Source organism: Homo sapiens, chromosome 8 (assembly GCF_000001405.40).
Source record: "Homo sapiens chromosome 8, GRCh38.p14 Primary Assembly".
Classification (NCBI taxonomy): domain Eukaryota; kingdom Metazoa; phylum Chordata; class Mammalia; order Primates; family Hominidae; genus Homo; species Homo sapiens.
This window is the reverse complement of record NC_000008.11, coordinates 95,084,628-95,103,797: the sequence shown is the minus strand read 5'-3', so window position 1 is coordinate 95,103,797 and position 19,170 is coordinate 95,084,628. Positions and strand designations below refer to the sequence as shown.

General features: G+C 44.6%; 1 protein-coding gene across 2 annotated transcripts in view, besides 4 other annotated features; it reads right to left on the bottom strand.

Annotated features, from left to right (window-relative positions):
* NDUFAF6 (NADH:ubiquinone oxidoreductase complex assembly factor 6) overlaps nucleotides 1-19,170 on the bottom strand; it is a 222,698-nt gene that overhangs the window by 14,699 nt on the left and 188,829 nt on the right. The window lies entirely within an intron of this gene.
* Nucleotides 2,914-2,973: an enhancer, noted in NCBI's record as "active region_27643". NCBI's record gives its function as "activates an Ori minimal core promoter by ATAC-STARR-seq in GM12878 lymphoblastoid cells {active_cell/tissue: GM12878}" and the evidence as "EXISTENCE:reporter gene assay evidence [ECO:0000049][PMID:35858748]".
* Nucleotides 3,304-3,393: an enhancer, noted in NCBI's record as "active region_27642". NCBI's record gives its function as "activates an Ori minimal core promoter by ATAC-STARR-seq in GM12878 lymphoblastoid cells {active_cell/tissue: GM12878}" and the evidence as "EXISTENCE:reporter gene assay evidence [ECO:0000049][PMID:35858748]".
* Nucleotides 10,784-10,913: an enhancer, noted in NCBI's record as "active region_27641". NCBI's record gives its function as "activates an Ori minimal core promoter by ATAC-STARR-seq in GM12878 lymphoblastoid cells {active_cell/tissue: GM12878}" and the evidence as "EXISTENCE:reporter gene assay evidence [ECO:0000049][PMID:35858748]".
* Nucleotides 15,962-16,031: an enhancer, noted in NCBI's record as "active region_27640". NCBI's record gives its function as "activates an Ori minimal core promoter by ATAC-STARR-seq in GM12878 lymphoblastoid cells {active_cell/tissue: GM12878}" and the evidence as "EXISTENCE:reporter gene assay evidence [ECO:0000049][PMID:35858748]".

The window sequence follows — 19,170 nt, the reverse complement described above, 5'->3', positions numbered from 1 at the left end:
CTTCTCCAAGAAAGAAAGAATAGCTTATTTTATTGGGAGTTCAGACAAAAGAACCATGCATGCCCGGACTGGCTCACTCCTATCCTTCTCTTTGAGATTTGCCTATCTCCAAAGAAAGTCACTGGATGTCTATGCCATATGTTTTACAGCAGCCAATCTACATAGCAAGAGGGGCAGGAGGTCAGGGAACAGGGTCCTGTGGGCTGTTTAACACTACCAGAGACCATGACACAGGGTCAGCCCCTGAATGTTATTCAATATGAACTTTTCTCAGTAATAAAGCTGACATTTTATTTGCCATCCTACTGATTTTTGAGACAATTTCTCAATTGTTTCTAAATTTGGTTAAGAAAAAGGTGTGGCATTTATTTATCCATTCCAACTCAAACAGGCATTATTATTATTTCCACTTTACAGGTGAGAAAACAGTCATTGATTGATCGAGCTATATCTGGCCCCATACTCTGTTCCTAACAACCACCAGTACAGTAGATTTTTGCCTGCCTATCAGCCATTTCTCCCTCTTCTGGTATCAACAGGTTGATTTTCCTTGGAATTTCCTCCATACATTTGACAGGGGTAAGGTTGACTCACTCACACCTAAGGGCTGACCAATCAGAGCCACAAAACCACCTGAACACTATGATTGGCTCAGGAACAAACATGTGACACAAGCTTGGCAAAACAGAGTCAAACTTAATCTGGCATAATGCTGGGGGACAAAAGTGCTCTCTTTGCATCGGGGTCACCAAAATGAAGGGCTAAAAGCCTGGAGTTGCCACCCACCATCTTGTCGTCATAAGGTACATGAGACTGTAGAGCCTGTAGAGAAAAAAAGGAAAGCAAAGTTGGTGTGCGGCTGTCAGTTTATTGCCTCTCAGCTCCATATTTACCCTTCATCGTTTGTTGAGCAAAAATCTAGCTGGGCCCCAAAGTATTTTTTTACTATTTGTCATGTTATTAAACTTTTTCAGTAGAGGGCGCTGAAGAGACACTGCAGAAGACATACAGTTTGCTTCCTGGTTCCAGTGTGTTCACTGGGAGCATGGCTGCTTCTCCAGTGTCCAGCTCTTGCAACACTGACAGCTCCTCTAGCACCTGGCTCCTTCAGTACCAGCAGCTTACCAGGGCACCTCCCTCAGGTACCCATGGGAAATACTTTCCCATGAATTGCTTTCCTGAGCATCCTAGAGATGAATTTCCAGCAAGTTCCAGGGAATAGATTTCTAGCAAGTTCCACTGACACTGCATAACAGCAACTCCTCTGTCAATCAATGAGACACAGCCATGTGCTCTTTGACAAGTTCTGGGTCTCAACCCAGGGGGTCAGGAGTGGGGGGCCAGCAGTAGCAGATTCTTCCTTAGGTGCTCTATCTCAGCCCTAGGAGAAGTAGTACTCCTTAAATCTGCTATTCCTGCATTCTTTCAAATTCTCTTTATTTCTTACTAGCCAATCCACTGTTATCCCAGCCCCCTGTTAATAGTTAATAATTCTTTAGATTGGCTGGGTGTGGTGGCTCCTGCCTGTAATTTCAGCACTTTGGGGGACCAAGGCATGTGGATCACCTGAGGTCAGGAGTTCAAGACCAGCCTGGCCAACATGGTGAAACCCCCAACTCTAGTACAAATACAAAAGTAGCTGGTTTGGTGGCGGGCACTGTAATCCCAACTACTTGGGAAGCTGAAGCAGGAGAATCACTTGAACCCGGGAGGTGGAGGTTGCAGTGAGCCGAGATCATGCCATTGCAGTCCAGCCTGGGCAACAAGAGTGAGACTCCATCTCAAAAATAAAAAAAAAAAAATACTTTTTTAGATTACACTTTTCCTAATGTTCAAATGATCACGTGGCTGCTCTCTCTTGATGGAACTGTGAATGACACAGATGGCAGGTGACACCAGGCCCTGATGGCACTGGCTGAGCCTGGATCCAGCTGGGTCAGAAGCTGCCTCTTCCTCTGCACTTTTCAGTTACAGAAGCCAATTTTTTTTCTTTACTCGAGTCATTTTGAGTTGGGTTTTCTGCCTCTGTTAAATTGAAGAATCCTGATTACAGAAGCCACAAAAGGGGAATGAACAATTAAGATAACAAGAAATGTTTACCTAGGAAGAGTCATCTTCTGAGGGGATGATATGAAAACTATGCATGTGTCCATCACGTGAAAGCAGAATTTCAACGTTAGGGTGCACTTGAATTATATGACTGTAATATAATTTGTCATATGATGACCAAATTAGGGCCAAGGGGTGGAAGTTACAGAGACAGTTCATCATGACAGCATGAGGAAGAGCCTTCCAGCAATTCAGTGTTCAATAATGGAATGAACTGTCCTGCCCAGCTGTGAGCGCCCTGTCTCTGGAAGTTGGGAGACAAGGAGTGCCCGCCACTCTCAGGTATGTTGTGGAAGAGGTGATTGCATTGGGTGGGAATTGCAACCAAGTAACCAATAAAGTCCCTTCCAAATCTAAGATTCTACTATTATGCTTGCAGAAATTCCTTAGCCTAAATCCCATTAGATGGTCCCAGCTAAGAGAAAACCAGACAAGGGCAACATTGTGCATTATGTGACTCACTTGGGAACTGAGGGTGCTGCCAGATGTTATCATCAGATGAAAAGAAAATGGACTAAGTCACCAGATAGGGGTGTTTAAATAAAGCCTTCTTTGCCCTGTTAAGAACACAATGTATTGCAGGCAATTACTATAAGTAAAATCATTCTGAAAATAAGCACATTAAACACTTGGTTTTAATTTGACTCAAGCATATTTACCTTGAGATTGCTTAAACAAATAGGTAAATTAAAAGTGCTCTGAGATTGGCTTAACCCAAGAAATGGAACATTAAGCTAGGAGGCAGCCAACACTGATTCTATTCCCGCTTTTTACGGTAACCTTGGGGCGAGGGGGGTCGGGAGGGAAGAGAGCAAAATAACTTGGTTTTGCTGAGCTTTGGTTTGTCCAACTGAAAGAACAAACAAAGTAATAGGCACACCTACTTTACAGAGTATGTGAAAGTTAAACAGGAAATGTCTACAAAAATAGAAAACAATGTATTAGTTTATGGACACAATGGATATTTTGAGTCAGAATCTTCATGCAAAGGTTTCTGGGTATAAATCATACTGGAAGCTGCGTCATTTAGCCAATACTTCCCAACCCCTTCTGAACTAATATAGCTTCTAAAGACGTCCAATCCAAAACTAAGCTAGCTCTCGCATACAGGATAAATTGGTTTAACATAAACAAACATAGAAAGTGAAACTAAGACTTACAGTAAATCAGTAACACAGTATATTCAAAGGCATAATATATTCAGGAAGCAGAGGCAACTTTGCCTCTGACATGGAGTAGCCCTCTAGACCAAACATTTCAGATCATTTCCTTTTCATTATCAATAACTTTTTCCTCTTCTTTAAGAAGAAAAAAATCCAGCCATACCTCCACCACAGTTTTTGTGGAGCAGAACCTGCTTTCAAGTTAAATTGTTCACTTTGTCTTCTATGTACTGTTGTTCTATTTATTTAATTTTTTTTTTTTTTTGCATGCAGACCACATCCTGAGGAGGAAATCACTTTTAAAACCTAATTCTTACGGGTATCCTCATTTCAGGAATGTTTGTGATTGCTCATTTATTCCTTACACAGCATGAACTAAGGCAGGAAATGATTAAGAGGGGAGAAAGGTAGGGAGAGCCCTGGATTGAGTCCCCACTTGGTTTAAATCAATTTCTAGATGAGATAGGCTAATCCTTGTTCAACTCACTCCAAGCCTCACGTATGATTTAAGCATCATTATCTGTAGCCCAGACCAGCACTAAAGAGCCTAGACACACCTGCGCATGTTCTCCCAAAGCCTGGGGCAATGAAAAGGCATCAGAGAAAACATTTAGAAGCTAAACTTCCATTAATGAAGGATTATTTTATAGGCACTTGCAGATGCCGTATTATAGGAAACGATTTAGTGATGAGACAACAGTAGTGGGGTAGTTAGGAATGAGAAGAGCTGAACTTCAAGATGGCTTTGTGCCCCCACCAAGCCCCGGTAAGATGAAGGCTGAAGCTCCATAACTGGGAGTGAGTAGAAAGAAAAAGTAGAACATCCAAGAAGAATCTAGTCTCCAGAAGCTACTGCTAGGGGAGCTCTCCTCTCTGCTAGGGGCAGGCGAAACACTAGGAATCCTTTGTTTATTCTTTTTCTTTCTTTTTCTTTTTTTTTAATTTTGAGATAGGCTCTTGCTATGTTGCCCAGGCTGATCTTAAACTCCTGGGCTCAAGGGACTCCCCTGCCTCAGCCTCTTTAGTAGCTGGGATTATACCATGCCTGGTATAAGAACTCTTTACGCTCAACCCCTTACATGAACTATCAGCAGTTTTGGCCAGATGACAGAAGTGGGTGCAGGCAGAGAATATGGAGGAAGGCACAGATGAGAGTGGCCATTTTTTTTCTTTTCTTTTTTTTTTTTCCAGCTGGAAGCCTGAGAGAATTGGTAGTCTCTGGTGGTTGCCCAGAAGAAAGAATATACTCTGAAAGAGACGCCAGCTTTTGTTTTGTTTTGTTTTTTGAGACAGGGTCTTGCTCTGTCACCCAGGCTGGAGCACAGTGGGGCAATCACAGCTCACTGCAGCCTCAACATCCTGGGATCAAGCAATTTTCCCACCTCAGCCTCCAGATTAGCTGGGACTACAGGCACCTGCCACCACGCCCAGCTAATTTTTTATTTGTAGTAGAGATGGGGTTTCACTATGTTGGCCAGTCTGGTCTCAAACTCCTGACCTCAGGTGATCTGCCTGCCTCGGCCTCCCAAAGTGCTGGGATTACAGGCGTGAGCCACCACACCCAGCCTAGAGCCAGTTTTTTGTTTTTTGTTTTTTATGTTTTTGAGACAGAGTCTTACTCTGTCGCCCAGGCTGGAGTGTAGTGGGGCGATCTTGGCGCACTGCAACCTCCACCTCCTGGGTTCAAGCAATTCTCCTGCCTCAGCCTGCCGGGTAGCTGGGATTATAGATGCGTGCCACACGCCCAGCTAATTTTGTATTTTAACATGGCAATATGATCTACTTTGAATTAGATCCAGTACTTTTGCAAAATGTTCATAGAGTTTTTAATAAGACTTAGTTTTTTTGTTTGTTTGAGACGAAGTTTCGTTCTTGTCGCCCAGGCTGGAGTGCAGTGGTGCGATCTCGGCTCACTGCAACCTCCGCCTCCCAGGTTAAAGCAATTCTCCTTCCTCAGCCCCCTGACTAGCTGGGAGAGATTACAGGTGTGTGCCACCATGCCCGGCTAATTTTTGTATTTTTAGTAGAGACGGGGTTTCACCATGTTGGTCAGGCTGGTCTTGAACTCCTGACCTTGTGATCTGCCCGCCTCGGCCTCCCAAAGTGCTGGGATTACAGGCGTGAGCCACTGCACCTGGCCAAGACATACATTTTTAGTAGAGACGAGGTTTCACTATGTTGGCCAGTCTGGTCTTGAACTCCTGACCTCAGGTGATCCACCCACCTCGGCCTCCCAAAGTGCTGGGATTACAGGCGTGAGCCACCAGCCCGGCCAGAAGCTAGTTTTTAAAGAAAATGGATCACTCCAGATTGGGGTATCCATTGCTTTAAACATCTTTCCCCCAGTTAGGAACGCTCCAGATGTAGCAGTAGAGATTCATTTTGCTTACTCTGTTAAGAAAATTCACTTTTGGAAAGCAAAAGGGACTCCAGATCAAAACATCACCACCAAGACATGAGCTGCTCTCAACAGAAACCTGTTACAAATGAGGAGCTGTAGAAAATAAGGAAACTCCTCTCACCTTTCTTACTGTTGCGTAGCAACCCCAGACAAAGGGATCCAGAACCAACCACAAGTCTCCCTCAAACTGTTGCATGATACTTTCTGCTCCAGTAGGCCTAGAGATCTCTCACTAGCCACAGATGAGGAATTTGCAAGGTATCTGACAGTCATCAGATCCTAAGCTTGCCAGTGCCTTTGCATTTTAGAAGTTAGGTCGTTTGGGAGCATACCAACTTCTAAATGCTTAATTTTCAACTGAAGAGCCACCAATACAGGCAGAAGATGGATTCTGTAACTATATTTTATTTTATTTTATTTATTTTGAGATGGAGTTTCACTCTTGTTGCCCAGGCTAGAGTGCAATGGCGTGATCTCAGTTCACTGCAACCTCCACCTCCCCAGTTCAAGCGATTCTCCTGACTCAGCCTCCTGAGTAGCTGAGATTACAGGCACATGCCACCATGCCCGGCTAATTTTCTGTATTTTTAGTAGAGACAGGGTTTCACCATGCTGGCCAGGCTGGTCTCAAACTCCTGACCTCAGATGATCCACCCGCCTCAGTCTCCCAAAGTCCTGGGATTACAGGCGTGAGCCGCTGCGCCCGGCCAACAGTATTTTAATGTATACTATTCTACATCTATTGTCGAACATTTAGGTTGTTTCCAATTATCTGCTTCTACCAATTAGGCTGTTACCAATAAGGGGTGTACTTTTGCTACATGAAATTGAGATGTCTTAGTTTATTTTTTTGTTATTCATTCTTAGTCTCATTTCATTTGTTGTCAAGGAATGAAGCCTACACCATTCTCCATTTGGAAATTTGAGGCCAGGGGCATCATGTATTTTGGTAATTTCCCATGGACATTTGAAAAGTTGGGACGTTCTCTCTAAGTTCATAATGTACATTTCCAGCCAGAGATGAAAACGTACAAATGAGTCTGTTCACTGGCCCAGGGGCCCAGAGAGTGTGCGTCTCTCCTTAACCCCCTGTTAGGCCTCATTGGGTAGGATCCCACCAGTATTGCTGCTGATGAGCTGCTAGAGGTCCCTGCCTAGCCCCTGGAGGTCTCCTCTCTGAAATTGCACAACATCTCTGCCTCCACTTTGGCAATTACGAGGAAAATGGCAAACACAGAACCAACCCCTTCCTGCTGTGTTTCTTGTGAGAAATTCACAAAAATCAGACTTGCACGTTCTTGCCCCATAGAAACTCAGGTAATGAACCTGGTATGGCAGTTTTGAAAAAAGTCAGTGTGGACTAAGGGCTGAGAGAATGATACAGGTGAAAACATGGTGATACGATCTGCTTTGAATCAGATCCAATACTTTTGCAAGATGTTCATAGTTTTTAATAAGACATACTGCAAATATTGTCAGAATGAATTCAGTCTCCTCTACTTACTACTTGTACAGCTTTGAGGTGCAATTTTTACATCCATAAAATGAGAAGAATGATACTAACCTCATCAGGTCACAGGGAGTGCTCAATAATATTAATTCTCTCTTTCATCAGCTATTGTTTCTTGCTGTATTAACTAAGGACTCCTTTTCATCCCCCCATTCATTTTTGTCACTTAGATTGTTTACAAAACCCGAAGGTGCTTTCAGATCTGGACTTGTGGAGTCCTGGCCAGTGACTTGCCCCAGGCATTGAGGTGATGTTGCAGGGAGGCGGAGAAACAGAACTTCTCTGCCTGACCTCCCCAAAAGGCCAATACTTTTGTTGAAGTCCTGTCTGCAGTGTCTCTTGCCCAGCAGTCTCCACCCTCCTGGCTGCTCAGCCAGTGCTCTCTCACTCCAACTTTCCATACCCACTGCCCCTAAACTTTCACACCCTTCTAAATAAAGGGAACCCTTGCATCCTGATTCGACTCCTTGTCAGCAATTAAACTATTTGTAAATTGGGCCAGGTATCAAAGACCCCTTAACAGTGATTGCTAAAACCTGCTACACTTAAAACAAATGATGTATAAACTTAAAAACTGAAGGAGCTAGGCTTTAGAAGGTGTTACGATAATAAATGAAATATTCATTTTAAACTTCAAAAACAGCGAAATCAGCCGGGCACGGTGGCTCACGCCTGTAATCTCAGTACTTTAGGAGGCCGAGACAGGCGGATCGCTTGAGGCCAGGAGTTCGAGACTAGCCTGGCCAACATTGCAAAACCCCATCTCTACTAAAAATACAAAGATTAGCCAAGCATGGTGGCAGGCGCCTGTAATCTCAGCTACTTGGGAGGCTGAGGCACAAGAATCACTTGAACCCAGGGGGCAGAGGTTGCAATGAGCTGAGATCATGCTACTGCACTCTAGACTGGGAGACAGAGTGAGAATTGGTCTCAAAGAAAAAAAAAAAAAGCGAAATGATCTTTTTTAGACACAAGAAAACTCTTGTATTGGCTAATGGGGGTGGAGTGAGCATGGAATGCACAAAATTTAGGAGAGACTGAGGAGCAATCAGCCCCAGGGAATTTAACAGCCTCAGGCCAGAACAAGAAAGTCTTGGGGGACAGACCTTCCCACGTGTGCTGGATTCCCCTGCACTCCACCCTGGGGTTCAGGGTGAATTGCCTTTAGTTTGCACCTTGGTTGAGAGGAGGCCACTGGGCACAGAGAGCGGCCAAGGATTAATGACCTGGATCCCATTCGGATGACTGTGTCCACCAAACCCTCACATCCTTCCTTCTCCAGCAGTACTAAGGTGACTATCTTCTCAGCTAGCTTCACCCCCATCTCTGGGTTGGTCAAACCACCAGATTTTCTCCTGATTCACGCTCTGAGGCACACTGTGCAAATTAATCATAGATGCCTGCCTGTGAGAGGGAAAGAATCCTCTACAACCATGGGTCAAACCCAAATCTATGGAGTCCACGGCTTTTTCTTTTTTTAATCTTTCTCCTATCTGACTGCGTGATGGTTAGTATCTGTTGAGTGCCAACAGACTTAGGTGAGGATCAATAGAAAAATGTGGGCCAGGCATGGTGGCCACCTCACTTTGGGAGGCTGAGGTGGGAGGATAGTTTGAGGCCAGTAGTTCAAGACCAACCTGGGCAACACAGTGAGACACCCCCCGCCACCCCCAAACTCTGCAAAAAATTAAGAAATTAGCTGGGCGTGGTGGTGTGCACCTGTAGTCTTAGCTACTCAGGAAGCTGATGCAGGAGGGTGTCTTGGGCCAAGGAGTTCAAAGTTGCCATGAGCTGTGATCATGACACTGCACTCTAGCCTGGATAACAGACGAAGACCCTATTTCTTAAAAAAAAAAAAAAAAAGAAGAAGAAGAAGAAGGAAAGAAAAAAGAAAGAAAGAGGCCAGACGCAGAGGCCCACGCCTGTAATCTCAACACTCTGGGAGGCCGAGGTGGGCAGATCACCTGCGGTCAGGAGTTCAAGACCAGCCTGCCCAACATGGTGAAACCCCATATCTACTAAAAAAATATAAAAATTAGCCAGGCATGGTGGCAGGCGCCTGTAATCTCAGCTACTTGGGAGGCTAAGGTAGGATAATTACTTGAATCCTGGAGGCAGAGGTTGCAGTGAGCCAAGATCGTGCCACTGCACTCCAGCCTGGGCAACAGAGTGAGACTCTGTCTCAAAAAAAAAAAAATCCAAAAAAAAAAAAAAGAAAGAAAAGAAAAGAAAGAAGGAAAGAAAAGAAAAGAAAGAAGGAAAGAAAAAGGAAAGACATAGAATAGTTGGGCACAGTGGCCAAAGGAAGTGGAAGAGGAAGGGGTGAAAAAGGAAGTATTTCTTGGTCGGGTGTGGTGGCTCACGCCTATAATCCCAGCAATTTGGAAGGCCAAGGTGGGCGGATCACCTGAGGTCAGGAGTTCAAGCCCAGTCTGGCCAACATGGCGAAAACCTGTCTCTACTAAAAATACAAAAAATTAGCCAAGCGTGGTGGTGCATGCCTGTAATCCCAGCTTCTAGGGAGGCTGAGGCAGGAGAATCGCTTGAACCCAGGAAGCAGAGGTTGCAGTGAGCCGAGATCACGCCACTGCACTCTAGCCTGGGCAACAGAGTGAGACGCTGTCTCAAAAAAAAACAACAAAAAAAGGAAGTATTTATTTCAGGTCTAAAGAAGGCCTTGAGGAGAGAAAACAAAAGAAAAGAAGGTAGCTAATTAAGTGAGGGAAGAACAACTGTGGGCCCTTTGCAGGGAAGATGTGTGGCAATCATACCACTAGCTACCTAACATTAACTGAATACTTAATATGTGTTAAGAATTTGTTATAAGGACATTGCCTATATTATCTCATCTAAGCCTCCCAACTGTTGACCTAAGGAAAGAAACTGAGGCAAAATTAATATAGTTTATTTGGGCCAGGGTTGAGGACTGTAGCCCAGGACACTTCCAATTTGCCTTGGGGAATGCTGCCTTTGGCCTTTGTTACTTTGTTACAAGCAGGTTTTAAAGACAAAAAGGGGACAGGGAGTGGTCTGATAAAAAAATCTTTTGGAATCCTCATTAGTTTACAGAAGTAACATTAACGAGTGATTGGGTATACATTGTTGAACTATAGGGTATGAGTTATGGTGTCCAGTGTATGCAATTTTATGGAGTCTTGGCATCAGATACTCTAGAGCTCACATAAGCAAGTGGCTTCAAGAAGTAATTATTTAGCTCAAGGGGCAATGAGACATGACTTCTGTCACACATTGTCATGTTTCAGTGCTGCTTTGGGCCTGATAATGAAAGGAGGCCTGCATTCCTCAGATAAGAAGTTTCTTTCTCACAACCCCAAAGATAGATATTATCATTCTGATTTTGCTGATGAGGAACCCAAGACATAGATAAAGTAGATTGTTCAAGGTCCTGAAATGAGTGGTGGGTCAGAATGCAAATCCACCAAGGCGGACTCTAGAACCCAAGTTACATCTCCACCCCTCCCACCCACCCCTTACACTCCCAAGGGATTAGAACAGCTACCCAGTGAGAAGCATAGGGTGAGCACTATGGTTATGAACTCAGCTCAAACTGACTCAGGGAACTCGGCATATGTTTTCTATAATTCAGATTCTTAGGGACAAATGTTCTCATGAAATTGCCGATCAGTAGAGAAACCGGTTTTATTTTGGATACTATTTCTGCAAAAGTAAAATGGATATAGGATTTTGTATTGCCCTTAAAAGGCTTCAGCAGGCCGGGAGCGGTGGCTAACGCCTGTGATCCCAGCACCTGGGAGGCCAAAGCAGGCCGATCATGAGGTCAGGAGATCAAGATCATCCTGGCTAACACAGTGAAACCTCATCTCTACTAAAAATACAAAAAATTAGCCGGGCGTGGTGGCACACACCTGTAGTCCCAGCTACTCAGGAGGCTGAGGCAGGAGAATCACTTGAACCTGGGAGGCGGAGGTTGCAGTGAGCTGAGATCGTGCCACTGCACTCCAGCCTGGGCGACAGAGCGAGACTCTATCTCAAAAAAAAAAAAAAAAAAAAAAAAGGCTTCGTGAGATATTAAATAGCTTTAGTGAAAAATGCTGACCAGTTTGGGGTTTGGCCTGGAGACAATTAGTGTGGAATCAAATTATGTCATAGGGGGCCAGGTGAGGTGGCTCACACCTGTAATTCCAGCACTTTGGGAGGCTGAGGCGGGTGGCTCACTTGAGATCAGGAGTTCAAGGCCAGCCTGTCCAACATGGTGAAACCTCGTCTCTACTAAAAATACAAAAATTAGCCAGGCATGATAGCAGGTGTCTGTAATCCCAGCTACTTGGGAGGCTGAGGTGGGAGAATCACTTGAACCTGGGATGCGGAGATTGCAGTGAGCCAAGATTATGCCTTTGCACTCCAGCCTGGGTGACAGAGTGAGAGTCCCATTTCAAAAAAAAAAAAAAATTGTGTCAAAGGGGAATTTTAAGTTAACCACATGGTAGATAGTTTCATTTAGAGACAGCAGAAGACACACAGGTGTGACTCAAAACTCGGAGTGCAGTGTGAAGTTGGGAACACTAAGTCCTGATATAAATAAATGAGAAAGGAGTAAATATGACAGGTAAATGACATCTGCCCTTTACAGTTAACATGCACTTAGGCAGTTTATCCAAGAGCATAATATTATATAATGGAGGTAAACAGAGTTGGGCTTGCCTTAAAGGAATTAAGAAACAGGAAAAGTCCTGGTGCAGTCATGGTGGAAGTATCGCTTGAGACCAAGAGTTTGAGACCAGCCTGGGCAACATACGAGATCCCTGTCTCTACAAAAAAAAAAAAATTAGCCAGGGGCAGTAGCACACACCTGTAGTCCCAGCTACTCAGGAGGCTGAGCTGGGGGGGATCGCTTGAACCCAAGAGGTCAAGGCTGCAGTGAGCCAGGATGGCGCCACTGCACTCCAGCATGGGTGCAGGACTCTGTCTCAAAAGAGAGAGCAAGAGAGAGAGATGAACAATTGAGTTATTTTCTTCTGCTTGAATAAATGCAGGGAAGAGCTTTTTGCAGAAAAGACTGACAAGGTTTTTTTGGAAGAGCTTCAGCATGAACATCAAATAGAGTTCAGCCATGGCGGGTGATATGGTTAGACTCTGTGTCTTCACCCAAATCTCATCTTGAATTGTAACCCCCATAATCCCCATGTCTCTAGGGAGATACCTTGTGGGAGGTGACTGTATCATGAGGACAGTTTCCCCCAGGCTGTTCTCATGATAGTGAGCGAGTTCTCATGAGATCTGATGGTTTTATAAGAGGCTCTTCCCCTTTCCCTCCTCACTCTTGTTTTTCCTGCCGCCATGTGAGAAGGTCCCCTTTGCCTTCCACCATGATTGTAAGTTTCCTGAGGTCTTCCCAGCTATGTGGAACTGTGAGTCAATTAAACCTCTTTCCTTTATAAATTACCCAGTCTCGGGTATTTCTTTATAGCAGTGTGAAAACGGACTAATACAGCAGGTGTTTGGCGAATGGAAAGGTCACCCTCTGTATTAGTCAAGGTTCTCTAGAGGGACAGAATAGGATATATAGGATATATATATATATGAGTTTATTAATATATATATGAGTTTATTAATATATATATGAGTTTATTAAGTATTAACTTACACTATCACAAGGTCCCACAATAGGCTGTCTGCAAGCTTGAGGAGCAAGGAGAGGCAGTCCGAGTCTCAAAACTGAAGAACTTGGAGTCCAATATAGAGGTCAGGAAGCATTCAGCACGGGAGAAAAATGTGGGCTGGGATGCTAGGCCAGTCTCTCCTTTTTGTGTTTTTCTGCCTGCTTTATATTCGTTGGAAGCTGATTAGATTGTGCCCACCAGATTAAGGGTGGATCTGCTTTCCCCAGCCCACCAACTCAAATGTTAATCTCTTTTGGCAACACCCTCACAGACCCAGGATCAATACTTTGTATCCTTCAATCCAATCAAGTTGACTGACACTCAGTATTAACCATCACACCCTCCTAGTATTAAACAATCAACAAGATGGGACAGTAAGAAACGGCGGGGAGAAGACAGGAAATGGGCGAACCATGACTCAACTTTATCTGAAGCCCGCAGAGGAGAAAAGCAGGGAGGGGAGAGTAGAAAGTTCACTGTAAAGAATCTCAAGTCTCCAAGAAAGGAGAAATGTCAGAACATAGAGCTGGAGACAAGGAAAGACATGAGATAAAGGCAGAACCCAAGAAGTCAAAAACAAGAGAAGGGGAGCTCAGGCCATGAACTAAAGAATGAAGTAAACACAATCATACAACAACTCACGTTATCATACTTAAGTCACAGGTGCAGGCGTGCTAGGTAAATGGCCTAGGAATGTGAAATTCTAGAGTCAGAGGGAGGAAAACCCTGATTTGATACAGAGAACCCACTTCCTGTGCACAGAGGCAGCTGTGGGGTTCTCCCCACAACCGGTGATTTGGGAAAGGGGCCACACCGAATAGACAGACATAATCTGAAATATTTAATAAGGAGCACCCACCTTAAGGTGTCTCTTAAGAAAAGACACCTGCTGAGGTGCAGGGTCTTGTAAACTGTCCCTCCCACCTCTTGCCGGGATGCCAGAAATGTGGGAAGTCATTTGGAGGAGGGGCTTGGAAGGACCTGGGGTAGAGGACCCGCAGGGCAGCAGATATTTATCCAAACAGTAGGAAAGTACAGTAAAACCCATAATAGTGAGGTAAGTGGAGTCTAATATGAAAACACAACACATGGGCCCCACTGTTGTGACGTTAACTAAAAATAATATTTTTCAACCTCTCTGGGATTTCCCAAAAAGCACATAAGATAAAGTTAGTCTGTGCCCACTGACTCCACAATGAGCTGAGCAAGTGCAGATGACCACTGGGCAGTGAACTAGTGACCTCACCTCATGCCTGAGATAGGAATTTGGGTCCATTTGGAAGAGGGGTACCCATTGCCAATTGTGGCATATCCTAGTCTGTGTTACGGAGGGTTTCACTGGGTTTGAGGCAGTGAGTGGCTGATACCACCATACTAGAAACTTCCTGGAGAATTACTGCTTCCATCCACTCTGTAAAACTCTGAGGTTGTGGAAAGGAAATTCTATTTATGAGATGTGAAAAGTAAGAATATTGACAATCTTGTCCTCTCCCTTTTATATATATATATACACACAGTTTACACTATGTATATATATTTCTTCTATATACAGTGATACTGGATGGGAATTTCAAAGAAATTTTCAGAAATGTGACTTGGAGGCTGGGTACGGTGGCTCACACCTGTAATCCCAGCACTATGGGAGGCGGAGGCAGAAGTTCATGAGTTCATGCAGGCATGAGTTCATGAGTTCAAGACCAGCCTGGGCAACATGGCGAAACCCCTTCTCCACAAAAATACAAACATTAGCTGGACGAGGTGGTGTGTGCCTGTAGTCCCAGCTACTCAAGAGGCTGAGGTAGGAGGATGGCTTGAGCCTGGGAGGCAGAGGTTGCAGTGGGCGGAGATCGCACCACTGCACTACAGCCTAGACGACAGAGCCAGACCTTGTCTCAAAAAAAAGAAAAACAAGGCTGGGCGCGGTGGCTCATGCCTGTAATTCCACCACTTTGGGAAGCTGAGACCAGTGAATCATTTGAGGTCAGAAGTTCAAGACCAGCCTGGCCAACATGGTGAAACCCTGTCTCTACTAAAAAAATACAAAAATTAGCCAGGCAGTAGTGGTGCACCTGTAATCCCAGCTACTCAGGAGGCTGAGGTAGGAGAATCACTTGAGCCCGGGAGGCGGAGGTTGCAGTGAGCCGAGATGGCGCCACTGCACTCCAGTCTGGGTGACAAAGTGAGACGCTGTCTCAAAAAAAATAATAAAATAAAATAAAATAAAAACAAGAAAACAAAAAGAAAACACACACACACACACACACACACACACACACACACACAAAACCCCAAAAAAGTGACTTGGCTGAAATTAACCTAAAATTGACTTCTGAAGCCAAAGCCTGAGATCACTATGAGAGAATACAGGGTCTAATCTCCAGTGTACATGTCAAAAAGGGGAATGGGCTGCAGCATCTAGAGAGGAGACCATCCTGTAGACCCATCCTGTTGTTTTACAAAGTGTGGGAAACCACTGATGAGGTAGGTGTGTTTTGGGTGGAGAAGGAAAGGCAGGGTAGAAGAGAGCGGAATCCAGCCAGGCAGCCCCCAATGGAAGAATATTCAACTCTAGCTCAACGTGGGGAAGGTAATGACTTTGATCCTTCCAGTTACCTTTTCTAGAGGGAATATGGAAAGAATCCAGAGTGGACAAGGGCAGCCTCACATTAGGACCCCATCCAATGGGCATATCTGTCACTTTCCAGCACACCAGGACTCTAGGGCGCCAGGATGGGCATAGCTGTGGCAGAGGTGAGAGGCAGCCTGTGGGAGGCTGTGAGCCCAGGTGGCCACCTGGTCCTTATAGCCATGAGGTTTGCAGGCAGTGCCTCAAGCATCACAGCAGCTGCAGTGCAGGCACCTGGCTGTGGACAACCTCATGGGGGTGGCGAGCAGGTGGCCCAAGGTGCCAGGGCCAGCATGGCATCCGCAGGGTCAGCTAGTCTTCAGTGCTGCCAAGAAGAGTTTATGAGCTGCCTCTCCTCTGCTACCAGGAAACAGCCTGATGGGGTGCGTAGGGACTGAAGTTTCCACAATTAGCTGGAGGAAGAGGAGATCTTGAGAAACAGTGGTAATTTCGCTGTAATTGTATGTGTGCCACTCCCCGGCCCTGAAGGGCATGAGCAAGAAAGACTGAAAGTTGTGAAATGTACCAGGGAAGACACTGCGGTTCTGTGGTGACGGTGAAAATGAACGTCTCAAAAGCTGGGTGATGGCTCAGCTGGACCCAGCATGTTAGCAACCCGTGTTTGAACAGAAGGAAATGAAAAATAAAGTAGAAGGACAAGGGAAGGAAATTGGGATCTCTTTTCATGGAGGCACAGAATGGTGAGAAATATCATTAAATGTTTTAAAGTAAAAGTGCTTTTGGAAAGGAGGAAGCCAAAGAAAGGTTTTATACTGCAAATAGAGTTGGCTGTATGGAAGTTTAAATGAAAGGCATGAAAGGCATGGATGCAGGAAACAGGTAGAGAAATGAACCAGCAGCCAGAAAAATGCAGAAGAACAATTGCTACAGCCAAATGATGGGATGAAAAAAAGTCCCAGGAAACTTTGGAGGAAATAATCGGGGGAACTTCAGTCATGACGAAACAGAGCCTCTTACTCCAAGAAAGGAAAAAGTACAAAGAATCACAGATATGGGTATAAAAAAAATCTTTGGGGATGCCTGTTAATGTATAAGAAGCAGTCAGTGGGTGGGGAGGGAAAACCACTGCAGGAAAGAGAAAACGGAAGATGCAAGTATGAAAAGTTGTATTTGCAGATCTTTCTGGACCTTTCCTATGTTGGCTACTCTTTAAGAATGAGAGCGCCTGTGTGTGTGTATCCATCACATTAAGCTTTCTATATTTTTGAAAGTTTTACCAAAAATATGCACCATGCAGAATTTTTTAAAAAAAAAGGCAAAAGAAAAGTTGTATTTGGTCCCAGGTAACTCCCACAAACTGCTAATGGTGCACCCAGTGGACAGCTTGCCCCTCCCTCAGATGACAGTGCCCATCACCCCTGCAGGGACTCTAGGATGTGTTGACCTGATCACACAGGGAGAAGGCACTCAAGAGACAAGAGGGGCCGGGGCGCGGTGGCTCACGCCTGTAATCCCAGCACTTTGGGGGGCGGAGGCGGGCGGATCACGAAGTCAGGAGATCGAGACCATCCTGGCTAACACGGTGAAACCCCGTCTCTACTAAAAATACAAAAAAAATTAGCCGGGCGTGGTGGGGGGCGCCTGTGGTCCCAGCTACTCGGGAGACTGAGGCAGGAGAATGGCATGAACCCAGGAGGCAGAGCTTGCAGTGAGCGGAGATCGCGCCACTGCACTCCAGCCTGGGCAACAGAGGAAACTCCGTCTCGAAAAAAAAAAAAAAAAGAAAAGAAAAGAAAAAAGAGAGAGACAAGAGGAAGGAGGGAGGTGCCTTTTGTCAGGTTTGCCTTCCCACTGAGGGATTCTGAGGAGGGTTTAAGGGAAGGAGGCCATTTCGGACAGTTTGCTATTTCTGAGAACAGGATCAGGAGAAGCAGGGATTAACTAGGGACTGGGTGCTGCCATGGGGCTAAGCAATATATCCACAGTAACAAATGAAAATAGCAAAGTGCATCTGGGGTGCCATTGGTACAAATCAGTAATCACTCAAAGATAGGATTGTGGCATGTTACAGTGTTGAGGGGAACACTGTTTTCTGTTTATTTTGCAGTTGGCATTACCTGTCGCTATCCTCACAGCCCGATTAAAGGTAGGGCTGCTTTTTTTCTTTCTCAGTTTGAGGTGATTTTTATTCTTCCAGTCCTGGTCAGGTTTTTCTCCTTCAGTCCCCTGTTTTGGCCATGGGTAGACAGGACGTTATTCTGGATTCTCACCATAACCCAGGCTGGTCTAGAGGCAGTTATGAGAACATAGCCTATAGATGCAAGGAAGTTTGTCGCTCTTCCTGTTGCTGGGTAAGCTGTGGATCATGTGACAGGATAATGGCTTTGCAAAAGTTAGCGTTTGGGACTCTGGAGGTCACATATTTAAACACTGCAACACAAATACTAGGAGAATAGATCATGATCAGAGTTTGTAGTTCATTTCTAAACCAAGACTCAAGTTTACTCAAATTAATAAAGCCCCATCCCTAATCCGCAGAACCTGCAGAACCAGATATGTGGGTATTATGTAAATTATCTCATCTGATTTTCATGTTTATGTCTTGAATCTTTTTAGAAATGTTAAAGAGTCTACAGAGGTCTGTGGAAATGCAAGCAAAGCATTCTTTTAAGGTGGCATAGTTTTTTAAATATCTCTTAAAATTTTTTTTTTTTTTTAGAAATGAGGTCTCACCATATTGCCCAGGCTGGAGTGCAGTGGCTATTCACAGGCACGAGCACAGCATGCTACAGTCTCAAGCCTCCCGAGTAGCTAGGACTACAGGCAAGTGCCAGCGTGCCTGGCAAAGTGGCATATGTTTCACCTTAAGAGGCCTTTTCAGGTATCTGGAAGAGTTCTGTTCCTAATCACCGCCTGTCCAATTTTATGAGTCTCCTGGCTGAGGTTTTCTATGACCATGGTGATATTGACAAGCTCTCCTGCTATTATTGAACCATAGTACGTAGGATTTTCTCATTCTTTAAGCCTTTGGTAAAGTGTAGAATGAAGAGGCATGGGAGGAGGAGAAGACAGCCCACAATTCCTCTTCCGTAGTTAAAGTTTTTGAACTTAGATCAAGGTCTAACTTTTCTCATCTTGAATCACATTATCTAAAGACTTCTTTTTCCAAAAAGGGAACTTTATGGGACAAACCGACCCTGGATCCTGTTAGGGCCTATCCTTGAAGCAGGCATTGATTACCAAGATAACAAATCCCTGTCCAATATGCAGGTAATAGCCAATGGGCTTTCATGCTCCAAAGCCAGTAGCCATTAATAACGGCCATCAGTCTTTGGCCAAAATACTAAGGAGTTGACAAGTGGTATTATAATGCCTTATGCCTCTATTGAGTGTGATTCAGGCCAATGATGTTTTTAGTATAGAGATTTTCAGGTAGATCTAAACCAAAATTACTTGGATCTGACTCTGTCCATATGCTATGCCTTTTTAAAATAAGGGCTATAAAAGTAAGGCAGCCTCTAACCATTCCCCAGTTCTTTCTCAAGTTCTATTTGTGGGAAAGTTTGGTTGCAAAAGCTAAATCCTACGACAGGTACCCAAGTGTTGTTTTGGTACAGACAGGAACCTCCCTGTCTAGGTAGGACACATAAGAAATTTTAGATTTCTAGCCATCTTATTTAGCATTTGCCATCTAAAGTCTCTCCATGTTTGAGTCCAATTACCTAGGAAGCCAAATGAATTCACACCAAGCCATGGAA